Raw genomic sequence first — 12,843 nt, forward strand, 5'->3', positions numbered from 1 at the left:
CATGGTAGTTTTAATGTGATGATATAAAAAATTACCTACTCCTGTGCTTTTATTGTTCAACAGAACTGGTTTCAAATGGCTGGCTAAATGTACATAATTTTCTTCTTTAAATCCCAATGAAATGAAGAAGACATGTAACAATTAAAATCTATAGGCTGGGTGCGGTGGCTCATGCCTGTAATCCCAGCACTTTGGGAGGCCGAGGCGGGTGGTTCACTTGAGGTCAGGAGTTTGAGACCAGCCTGGCCAACATGGCAAAACCCCATCTCTACTAAAAATAAAAAAATGAGCCAGCCATGGTGGCACACACCTGTAATCCCAGCTACTTGGGAAGCCGAGGCAGGAGAACTGCTTGAACCCAGGAGGCGGAGGTTGCAGTGAGCAGAGATCATGCCACCGTACTTCAGCCTGGGCAAAAGAATGAGTGAGACTCCACGTCAAACAAAAACAAAAAACCCACAAAGAAGAAAAATTCCTGTTTCAAAAGATGAAAATCTTCAGACAGAAAGGATCTAATAAATGTGAAGCAGGATAAATGAAAAAAGACCATAAAATATGGAGTTTTCCAAAGGATTTAAAAAGTACAATCTTCTATCAAAGAGAAGTAGCAGAAGTAGTAGAGAACTGCAAAATACAAGAATTGGGATTAGCATCAGAATTCTTACATATAACATTAGATGGAAAAAAATAATGGAGCCATGTAGTCAATGTTCCCAAGTAAAAAGATATTTACTGACATGAAAGCAAAAATAAAGCCATTTGCCAGGTGTGGTAGCATGCACTGGTATTCCCAGCTACTTGGGAGACTGAGGTGGGAGGACCACTTGAGGCTAGGCGTTAAAGCCTGTAGTGTTCTATGAAAGTGCCTGTGAGTAGTCACTGCACTCCAGCCTGGGCAATACAGTGAAAACCCATCTCTAAAATAAAATTTTAAAATAAATAAATAAAGTTATTTTCAGATATCCAAGGACTCAAAACATTCTCAAAGAATTACTCAAGGATACCCTCCAAAAACAAAAAATATATATATTAAATCAGAAAACAAGCAATGTAACAAAGCTAAGAAAAGATTTCAGTAAAACAAAGTTAAAAAGCAGTTATTGGTAGTGGCTGTCAGGCTTAATGAAATTGTGAAAAATGATTTTTAAGACTATGGAAGGTTAATTAAAAAATCATAAAATATACTTTTTTTTTTTTTTTTGAGACACAGTCTCGCTTTGTTGCCCAGGCTGGAGTGTAGTGGCGCGATCTCAGCTCACTGTAACCTCTGGCTCTCAGGTTCAAATGATTCTCCCGCCTCAGTGTCCTGAGTAGCTGAGATTATAGGCATGCGCCACCATGCCCGGCTATTTTTGTATTTTGTAGAGATGGGGTTTCACCATGTTGGCCAAGCTGGTCTCGGAACTCCTGACCTCAAGTGATCCGCCCATCTCAGCCTTCCAAAGTGCTGGGATTACAGGTGTGAGCCACTGTGCCTGGCCATAAAATACACTTTAAAAATACAAAATAAATACTAAAAATGCCACAATCTGGGCCAGGCATGGTGGCTTACTCCCGTAGTCCCAGCACTTTGGGAGGCTGAGGTGGGTGGATCACTTGAGGTGAGGGGTTCAAGACCAGCCTGGGCAAGATGGTGAAACCCTGTCTCTAATAAAAAAAAAAAATACAAAAATTAGCTGGACATGGTGATGCACGCCTGTAATCTCAGGTACCTGGGAGGTTGAGGCAGGAGAATTGCTTGAGCCCGGGAGGCAGAGTTGCAGTGAGCTGGGATCATGCCACTGCACTCCAGTCTGTGCCACAGAGTGAGACTCCATCTCAAAAAAAAAAAAAAAAGCCATAATCTGGAACAAAAATTCCAGTTGATTTCAATGGAACATGATGGGGATAATAGTAAAACTGTTAAAAGTTAGGTTAAAAGGAAACATAGACATTAATTTTGATGCTGACAAATGGGTACTTAAACATTAAATAGAGGGACATCTAATTTGGCAATATACAGATAACCGAAAAGCCCTCCCAGTATAAAACTCCCTGGAAATGCTGGATTATATTTTGAAAACAATCTTTCCAACTACATAGCAAGGGCAAAGAAAAAAAAGACATGAAAACTAGAGTGGTAAATGGAAGTTTGTGAAGGGGGTTAACTTGTCACAGTTACCTGGGAGCTTGAGATTTAATATCCCCATGAGGACAGGTCATGAAGCTTTGGGGCTGAATTATGTAAGGGGCAGGAACTAAGAACTATGCATAAAGCTAGGATCTTTGAAGGGTCATACCATCAGTAAAAGGGTTAATTTTTTTAAAAAGTCCACCAGTACATAGAGATCACAAGAAAGCTTGTCCGTCTTGGCCTCAAGTCATATGTGAAAAAAACAATATAAGTTCACCAGGTAATTCATCTATAAGCTTACACATCAAGCAAATTTGTAGTTCACAGTTTCACTACCCACGTGTTCAGAGACTCAAGCAGAGAACAATATAAAATGTAGTCCTCCATCGTGGAATGCCTGGGAGGAGGAAATGCAAAAACCTTTCTGGAGGGTCATATCCTCAACCTAGGGCACACACGATTCACATAGGATATAGCCCCATTGGGTATGGGTTTGATGGGTAGCTTCTGACATGGCTCTCAATGATCCCTGCCTTTCTGATATTCATACACTTGTGTAATAAATACAACATGGCAAATGTGATGGGATGTTGCTTTCATAATCAGGTTACTAAAGATTGTAACTTCCGTCTTGCTAGCTTGTCCTCTCTTGCTGGCACTTTCTCTTGCCCTCTTACTTGCTCTGATGAAGCAAAGCTTCCATGTTGTAAAATGCGTTACAGAGAGGCTCACATGGCAAGAAACAAGGAAGGCCTCTGGCCAACAGCTTGTAGGGAACAGAAGCCTAAGTCCAACAACTAGTAAGGAATTGAATCCTGTCAACAACCATGAGTGAGTTTGGATCCTTCCCAATTGAGCCTAAGATGACTGCAGCCCTGTGAGAGATCCAGAGTAGAAGACCCAGTTAAGCAGTGACCAGATTTTCCTGACTGGCAGAAACTAAAGCTAGTAAATATTTTAAGCCAGTAAATTTTGTGGTTGATTAGTTTTTTATCAATAGATAACTAATGGATCTACATAAGAAAGGAGAGCATCAGGAAAGGAATAAATGAAGAGAAAACAATCTTTTATTTTTTTAATCTAATAAATAGATCATTGTTCAAAGTAATAATAGCAACAATGTATTCAGTGATTACAACATGTGGATAAGTGAAATGAATGACAACTATAAAGGATGGCAGAGAGGAACTGGGAATACTCAGTTATAATGTACCTGTACTACCCATGAAAGTGGACTTGGATTAGTTGTAAGTGTATATTGCAAATCTAGGGCAAATTTTTTTAAAATTTTAATTTGTGTGGGTAAATAGTAGGTGTACATATGTATGGGGTACATGAGATGTTTTGATATAGGCATGCAATGCATATTAACCACATAGTGTAAAATTGGGTATCCATCCCCTCAAGCATTTATCCTTTGTGTTACAAATAATCCAGTTATACTCTTTTAGTTATTTTAAAATGTACATTTATGCTACAACAAAAGTGCCTTACAAAGCAAAAATATTTTAAAAAGAACAATTAAGTTATGATTGACTATAGTCAACTGTTGTGTTATCAAATAGTAGGTCTTATTCATTTTTGTTCTTTTTGTACCCAATAACCATCTCCACACCTTCCCCTCCACCCCCCAGCCTCCCACTACTCTTCCCAGCCTTTGTTAACCATCCTTCTACTCTCTATCTCCATAAGTTCAATTGCTTTCATTTTTAGCTCCCACAAATAAGTGAGAACGTGATATTTGTCTTTCTGTGCCTGGCTTATTTCACTTAGCATAATGACCTCCAGTTCCATCCATGTTGCAGCAAATGACAAGATCTCATTCTTCTTTATGGCTGAATAGTACTCCATTGTGTATAAGCACCACATTTTCTTTATCCATTCATCTGTTGATGAACACTTTAGGTTGCTTCCAAATTTTGGCTGTTGTGAACAGTGCTTCAACAAACATGGGAGTGCAGGTATCTCTTTGACATACTGATTTTCTTTCTTTTGGGTATATACCCAGTGGTGGGATTGCTGGACTATATGGTAGCTGTATTTTTAGTTTTTTGAGGAACCTCCAAACTGTTCTCCATAGTGGTTGTACTAATCTACATTCCCACCAACAGTGTATGAGGGTTCCCTTTTCTCCACATTCTTGCCAGCATTTGTTATTACCTGTCTTTTGGATATAACCCATTTTAACTGGGGTGAGATGATCTCATTACAGCTTTGATTCACATTTCTCTGATGATCAATGATGTTGAGCACATTTTCATATGCCTATATGCTATTTGTATGTCTTCTTTTGAGAAATGTCTATTCAAATCTTTTGCCTATTTTTAAATTAGATTAGATTTTTTTTCCTGTATAGTTGTTCGAGTTCCTTATATATTCTGGTTATTTATCCCTTGTCAGATGGGTAGTTTGCAAATATTTTCTCTCATTCTTGGGTTGGCTCTTCCCGTTGTTAACTGTTTCCTTTGCTGAGCAGAAGCTTTTTAGCTTGATGTGATCTCATTGGTCCATTTTTGCTTTTGTTGCCTGTGCTTGTGAGGTATTACTCAAGAAATCTTTGCCCAGACCAATGTCCTGGAGAGTTATCCTAATGTTTTCTGGTAGTAGTTTCATAGTTTGAGGTCTTAGATTTAAGTCTTTAATCCATTTTAATTTGATTTTTGTATACAGTGAGAGGTAGAGATCTAGTTTCATTCTCCTGCATATGGATATCCAGTTTTCCCGGGACCATTTATTGAAGAGACTCTTTTCCTCAGTGTATGTTCTTGGCACCTATGTCAAAAATGAGTTCACTGTAAGTGTATAGGTTTGTTTCTAGGTTCTCTATTATGTTACATTGGTCTATGTGTCTGTTTTTTTGCAAGCACCATGCCATTTTGGTTACTATATCTCTGTAGTATAATTTGAAGTTAGGTCATGTGATTCCTCCAGTTTTGTTTTGTTTTGCTTAGGATATTTCTGGGCTATTCTGGGTCTTTTGTGGTTCCATATACATTTTTAAATTGTTTTTTCTATTTCTGGGAAGAATGCCAAAGGTATTCTAATAGGAATTGCACTGAATCTGTAGATTGCTTTGGGTAGTATGGACATTTTAACAATATTGATTTTTCCAATCCATGAACATGGAATATCTTTCCATTTTTGGTGTCCTTTTCAATTTCTTTCATCAATGTTTTATAGTTTTCATTGTAGCGATCTTTCATTTTTTCGGCTAATTCTTTTTTAATTTTACTTGTGGCTACTGTAAATGAGATTACTTTTTAAATGTCTTTTTCAGATTGTTCACTGTTGGCATACAGAAATGCTATTGATTTTTGTATGTTGATTTTATATCCTGCAACTTCACTATATTTGTTTATCAGTTCTAATAGCTTTTTTTATGGAGTCTTTAGACTTTTCCAAATATAAGATATATCATTTGCAAAGAAGGATAATTTGACTTCTTCCTTTCCAAATTGGATGCCCTTTATTTGTTTCTCTTCTCTGACTGCTGTAGCTAGGACTTCCAGTACTATGTTGAATGACCGTGGTGAAAGTGTGCATCTTTGTTGTGTTCCAGATCTCAGAGGAAAGGCTATCAGTTTTTCCCCATTCAGAAGATACTAGCTGTAGGCCTGTCATCTATGGGTTTTATTATGTTGAGGTATGTTTCTTCTATACCCAGTGTTTTGAGGGTTTTTATTATGAAGAGATGTTGAATTTTATCAAATATTTTTTCAGCATCAATTGAAATGATTATATGGGTTTTGTCCTTCATTCTGTTGATATGATGTATCATATCATTCTACTGATTGATTTGAGAATGCTGAACCATCCTTGCATCCCAGGGACAAATTCCATTTCAACCACAAAACTTTTAAAAAATAAGTATAATTGATATGTTGAGAAGAGAGAAAGTAGAATTATATAAAATGTTCAGTAAAAACCAGAGAAGGCAGAAAAGGGGGGAAAGATGTAAAAAGAAGAACAAGTACAATGAATAGAAAGGAGTTATAAACATGGCAATATTAATCCAACAATATCAGTAAGTACATTGTGAATGGTCTAAATATGCCAATTAAAAGAACTGCTAGAGTGGATGACAATACAAGATTAACCATATGCTGTCCACAAGAAACCAACTTTAAATATAAAGACACAGATAGATTTAAAGTAAATGGATGCAGAAAGATATACCGTGTTAACACTAATCAAAAGAAATCTGAAGTAGCTATATTAATGTCAGAGAAAGACGACTTCAGAATAAGGAAAATCTTCAGGGATAAAGAGGGGCATTACTGGCTGGGCATGGTGGCTCACGCCTGTAATCCCAGCACTTTGGGAGGCTGAGGCAGGCGGATCACGAGGTCAGGAGATTGAGACCATCCTGGCTAACATGGTGAAACACCATCTCTGCTAAAAATACAAAAAATGAGCTGGGCATGGTGGCACGTGCCTGTAGTCCCAGCTACTTGGGAGGCTGAGGCAGGAGAATCTCTTGAATCTGGGAGGTGGAGGTTGCAGTGAGCTGAGATGGCACCACTGCACTAGAGCCTGGGCGACAGAGCGAGCAAGACTCTGTCTCAAAAAGAAAAGGGGCGGGCGGGCATTACCTATAATAAATGGTCAACTTTCCAGGAAGACATACCAATGCTTATGTGTATACACCTAACAACAATGTATCAAAATATGTGAGGCAAAAACTGAAAGAGCCACAAGAAGAAACAGAAAATCATTACTATAGCTGGAGACTGCGACATCCCTCTATCAGTAATTGACCAAGCCAAGAGGCAAAAAATCAGTAAGGATATAGTTGAACTGAACAGCACCATCAATCAAATGTGTCTAATTGAATCTTGAGAACTAATCAATCCAATGATGGCAGAATAACATTCTTCTCAAGCTCATATGGAACATTCACCAACACAGACCACATTCTGGGCCATAAAACACACCTTGATTTGTGCTGTCAGACCACAGTGGAATTAAGGTAGAAATCAGTAACACAAAAATAGCTGTAAAATTCCCAACTATTTGGAGATTAAACCACACATTTATAAAGAACTCATGGGACAAAGAAGTCTCAAGATAAAATTTTTTTTAACTTCAATGAAATGAAAATACAACCTAACAAAAATTTGTGGGATACAGAGAAATCAGTGCCTAGAGGGAAATTTATAACATTGGATGAACTTATTAGAAAAGAAGAAAGATGTAAAATCAATAATGTAGACATCCACCTTAGGAAGCCAGAGAAAGAACAGTAATACAAACCTAAAACAACCAGAAGAAAAACATTAGAGCAGAAATCAAGAAAATTGATAACAAGAAATCAACGCAGAAAAAAAAAAATCAATGAAGCAAAAAACTGGTTTTTTAAAAAGATCAATAAAACTAACAAACCTCTAGTCAGGCAAACCAAGAAAAAAAAGAGAAAAGACACAGAACACTAATATCAGAAATAAAAGCTGGGTCATCATTAATTATCTATGGACATTAAAAAGATAATAATGGCCAGGCGTGGTGGCCAATGCCTGTAATCTCAGCACTTTGGGAGGCTGAGATGGGAGGATCACTTGAAGCCAGGAGTTTGAGACTAGCCTAGGCAGCAAAGTGAGACCCTGTCTGTACACACACACACACACACACACACACACACACACACAAAATTAGGCAGGCATGGTGGTGCATGCCTCCCTAGCTACTTGGGAGGCTGAGGTGAGAGGATCACTTGAGCCCAGAAGTTCAAGGCTGCTGTGAGGTATGATCGTGCCACTGAACTCCAGCCTGGGTGATGGCAAGACTCCATCTTAAAAAATATAAATAAAAGGATAATAGTGGTGAGAGGTGACAGCATGCTGGCAGCCCTGGCTCGCTCTCAGCGCCTCCTTGGCCTTGGCGCCCACTCTGGCCACGCCTGAGGAGCCCTTCAGCCCGCCGCTGCACTGTGGGAGCCCCTTTCTGGGCTGGCCAAGGCCGCAGCCGGCTCCCTCAGCTTGCCGGGAGGTGTGGAGGGAGAGGCGCGGGTGGGAACTGGGGCTGCGCGTGATGCTTGCGGGCCAGCTCGAGTTCCGGGTGGGCGTGGGCTCCGCGGCCCCGCACTGGGAGCGGCCGGCCGGCCTGCAAGCCCTGGGCAGTGAGAAGCTTAGCACCTGGGCCAGCAGCTGCTGTGCTCGATTTCTCGCAGGACCTTAGCTGCCTCCCCGCGGGGCAGGGCTTGGGACCTGCAGCCCGCCATGCCTGAGCCTCCCCTCAGCCCCCCACTGTGGGCTCCTGCGCGGCCCAAGCCTCCCCGAAGAGCGCCACTCCCTGCTCCACGGCACCCAGTCCCATCAACCGCCCAAGGGCTGAGGAGTGCAGGCGCACGGCATGGGACTGGCAGGCAGCTCCACCTGCGGCCCAGGTGCGGGATCCACTGGGTGAAGCCAGCTGGGGTCCTGAGTCTGGTGGGGACTTGGAGAATCTTTATGTCTAGCTAAGGGATTTTAAATACACCAATCAGCACTCTGTGTCTAGCTCAGGGTTTGTAAATACACCAATCCACACTCTCTGTATCTAGCTAATCTAGTGGAAAACTTTTGTTGTCTAGCTCAGGGATTGTAAACACATCAATCAGCACCCTGTCAAAACAGACCAATCAGCTCTCTGTAAAACAGACCAATCAGCTCTCTGTAAAATGGACCAATCAGCGAAATGTGGGTGGGGCCAGATAAGAGAATTAAAGCAGGCTGCCTCAGCCAGCAGTGGCAACCTGCTGGGGTCCCCTTGTACACTGTGGAAGCTTTGTTCTCTTGCTCTTTGCAATAAATCTTGCTGCTGCTCACTCTTTGGGTTCACACTGCCTTTATGAGCTGTAACACTCACCACGAAGGTCTGCAGCTTCACTCCTGAAGCCAGCGAGACCACAAACCCACCAGGAGGAACGAACAACTCCAGACACGCCACCTTAAGAGCTGTAACTCTCACTGCAAAGGTCTGCAGCTTCACTCCTGAGCCAGCGAGACCACAAACCCACCAGAAGGAAGAAACTCCGAACACATCCGAACATCAGAAGGAACAAACTCCGGACACGCTGCCTTTAAGAACTGTAACACTCACCGCGAGGGTCCGCGGCTTCATTCTTGAAGTCAGTGAGACCAAGAACCCGCCAATTCCGGACACAGTGGAACATTATTAATAAATCTATACCCACAAATTTGAAAACTTAGATGAAACAGGCCAATTCCTTGAAAGATATAAAGTACCAAAACTCATACAAGAAATAGATAACCTGAATAGGCCTGTATCTGTTACAGAAATTATACTGATAATTAATAACCTCCCCCAAAAGAAAGGACCAGGACCAGACAGTTTCAATGGTGAATCCTACCAAACATTTATGGACAAAATGAAACCAATTCTCTAAAATCTCTTACAGACAATAAAGGCTGAGGGAACAATTCTTTACTCATTCTGTGAGGCCAACATTACCCTAATTCTAAAACCAGAAAAGACATTACAAGAAATGGAAACTACATACCAGTATCTCTTAGGAACACAGATGCAAAAATCTTCAACAAAATATTAGCAAAGCTGATTCGACAATGTAAACAAAGAATTACAACCATGACCAGATGGATTTGTTCCAAGTATATAAGCCTGGCTCAACATTCATGAATTATTTTGTGTAATTCATCACATCAACAGGCTAAGGAAGAAAACTCAGATGATCACAGCAATGGGTATGGAAAACATATTTGATAAAATCCAATATCAATCCATGATATTTAATATTAAAAAAATCTTAGCAAACTAGGAATAGAGGGGAACTTCCTCAACTTAAGAACATTTACAAAAATCCTACAGCTAAGATCACACTTAATGGCGAGAAACTAGAAGCTTTCTCACTAAAATCAGAAACAAGACAAAGATGCTACTCCCTCATTACTCCTACTCAGCACTATACTGGAAGCTCGAGCTAATGTAATACAACAAGAAAGGGAAAGAAAAGACATACCTATTGGAAAAGAAGAAATAAAACTGTCCTTGTGATAGTCCATGTAGAAATCCTAAAGAACTGCCAAAAAAAAACCCGTCCCGGAACTAATAAGTGATGATAGCCAAGTCTCAGTATACAATATTAACATACAATAGTCAACTGCTTTCCTATACACCAGCAACAAGCAACTGGAGTTGGGAATAAAAAATACAATACCATTTACGTTAGCACTAAAAGAAAAAAAAAGAAAAAAAGAATTAGGTACAAATCTACCAAAATATGTACAAGATCTATAATCCCAGTAATCCCAGCTACTCAGGAGGCTGAGATGGGAGGATCCTGAGCCCAGGAGTTTGAGACCAGCGGAGTTACACAGCAAGACCTCATCTCAAAAAAGAAAAAACAAATTAGTACATTGTTGGTGGGAATGTAAATTAGTACAGCCCTATGGAAAACAATATGGTGGTTCCTCAAAAAACCACAAATACAACTACCATATCATCTAGTAATCTCACTTCTGGTATACATCCAAAGGAACTGAAATCAGTATGTAAAAGAGATATCTGCACTCCCATATTCATTGAAGCATTATTCACAATAGTCAAGACATAGAAACAACCTAAGTGTCCATTAATGAATGAATAAAGAAAATGTGGTATAGATACACAATGGAATACTGGAGGACATTACACTAAGTGAAATAAGCCAGGGACAGAAAGACAAATACTGCATTATCTCATATGTGGAATTCCTAGAATTCCATACAGTTCCATTCCTAAAAGTGGAGAGTAGAACGATGGTTACCAGAAGCTGGGGGTGGGGGACTTGGGGAGAGAGGGAATAGGGAGCTGTTGATCACAGAGTACAAAGTTTCTGATAGACAGAAGGAATAGGTTTTGAGATCTATTGCACAGGAAGGTGACTATGGTCAATAATAATGTATATTTCAAAATAACTGAGACTGAATTTCAAATAGCTCATCATAAAAAATTATAGGCAAGGCAATGTTAATTAGCCTGATTTAATCATTACATGTTGTATATATGTATCAAAACATCACGCTATACCGCATAAATGTATACAATTATAATTTGCCAATCAAAAATAATACTGATAATAAATTTTTAAAGCTAATGATGTAGAAGATAGAGCTGAAGAAATTATCCATAAAATAGGAGAGTGAGACAAAGAGAGAAATTATGAGAGATTAAGAAGCTTGGATGATCCACTTAAACTGCAGTGAAAATGCAGAAGCAGAAAATTTAAAAAGCTACAAGAGAAAATAGAGATGAACTACAAATATATAACAAACTGACAGGAAGCTTCAACAGCTATAATCGAAGTCAGAAGACAATAAAATACTAGTTTTGATGCATTTAGGAAAAATATCTGTCAGTGAAGAATTCTTTAAGTAATTCAATTCTTTAAGAAAAGTCAAGAGAGCAGAGCCGTAAGAACCAGAGGAAAACAAATTAAGCCTGAAATCAGTCCTATTCAGACTTCCAGTTATATGAACCAATAGACTTCCTTATTAAAAACTGATTTGGTTTGTTTACCTATTGGTAAAAACTTTGTAAGGACTTAAAGACCATGACATTTTAATTAAATAATCATATGTGTTTCACCCCATCAAACCCTATATGTTTTTATGAGTATGGGAAAAGGTGTGGAAGAGTTCACATCTAGGAGAATGACAACAGGCATTCAATAGAGTTACAAAGAGGTTTTTTTTTGTTTTTTTTTTGAGATGGAGTCTCACTCTGTCACCCAGGCTGGAGTGCAGCAGCACGATCTCGGCTCACTGCAATCTCTGCTTTCCGGGTTCAAGTGATTCTCCTGCCTCAGCCTCCCGAGTAGCTGGGACTACAGGCGCGCACCACTGCGCCCAGCTAATTTTTGTTTTTTGTTTTTTCTTTTTTTTTAAGAGATGGTGTTTCACCATGTTGGTCAGGCTGGTCTCCAACTCCTGACCTCGTGATCCACCCACTTTGGCCTCCCAAAATGCTGGGATTACAGGTGTGAGCCACCGCACCCAGCTTTTTTTGCTTTTACATCTTTGTATTGTTTGACTTACTCTAAGGAGGTTGTATATTACTTTTATAATTGGAAGTAAAAAAATTCATAAAGGAGACAGGTGTGGTGGCATGTGCCTGTAGTCCCAGCTACCCAGGAGGCTGGTTGAAGTGGGAGTATCACTTGTGCCCAAATTCAAATTCAGCCTAGGCAACATAGTGAGACCCCATATCTCTCTTTTTTTTAACTTTTATTTTAGGCTTGGGGATACATGTGAAGGTTACATAGGTAAACGTGTTAAAAACCACAATTATTTTTGCACCAACTTAGTATTTCATCACCCAGATATAAAGCCCAGTACCCAATAGTTAACTTTTCTGTGCCTCTCTGTCCTTCCACCCTCCCTCCTCAAGTAAATCCCAGTGTCTGTTGTTTCCGTCTTTGTGTTCATAAGTTCTTACCATTTAGCTCTCACTTCTAAGTGAGAACACGTGGTATTTAGTTTTCTGTTTCTGTGTTAGTTTGCTAAGGATAATAGCCTCCAGCTCAACCCATATTCCCACAAAAGACATGATCTCATTCTTTTTTATGGCTGCATAGTATTTCATGGTGTATATGTACCACATTTTCTTTATCCAAACTGTCATTGCTGGGCATTTAGTTGATTCCATGTCTTTGCTATTGTGAATAGTGTTGCACTGAACATTCGCATGCATGTGTCTTTATGGTAGAATGATTTATATTCCTCTGGGTGTGTACC

At 39.6% G+C, this 12,843-nt stretch overlaps 1 protein-coding gene across 4 annotated transcripts in view, besides 1 other annotated feature; it reads right to left on the bottom strand.

Annotated features, from left to right (window-relative positions):
* The window catches only part of TMED5 (transmembrane p24 trafficking protein 5), a 30,672-nt gene that overhangs the window by 12,420 nt on the left and 5,409 nt on the right, over positions 1-12,843 (bottom strand). The gene's annotated exons all lie outside the window — the stretch shown is intronic.
* Positions 8,696-8,805: a silencer, noted in NCBI's record as "silent region_1081". NCBI's record gives its function as "represses an Ori minimal core promoter by ATAC-STARR-seq in GM12878 lymphoblastoid cells {active_cell/tissue: GM12878}" and the evidence as "EXISTENCE:reporter gene assay evidence [ECO:0000049][PMID:35858748]".

The sequence above is a fragment of the Homo sapiens genome, chromosome 1 (assembly GCF_000001405.40).
Source record: "Homo sapiens chromosome 1, GRCh38.p14 Primary Assembly".
NCBI classification, from domain to species: Eukaryota; Metazoa; Chordata; class Mammalia; order Primates; family Hominidae; genus Homo; species Homo sapiens.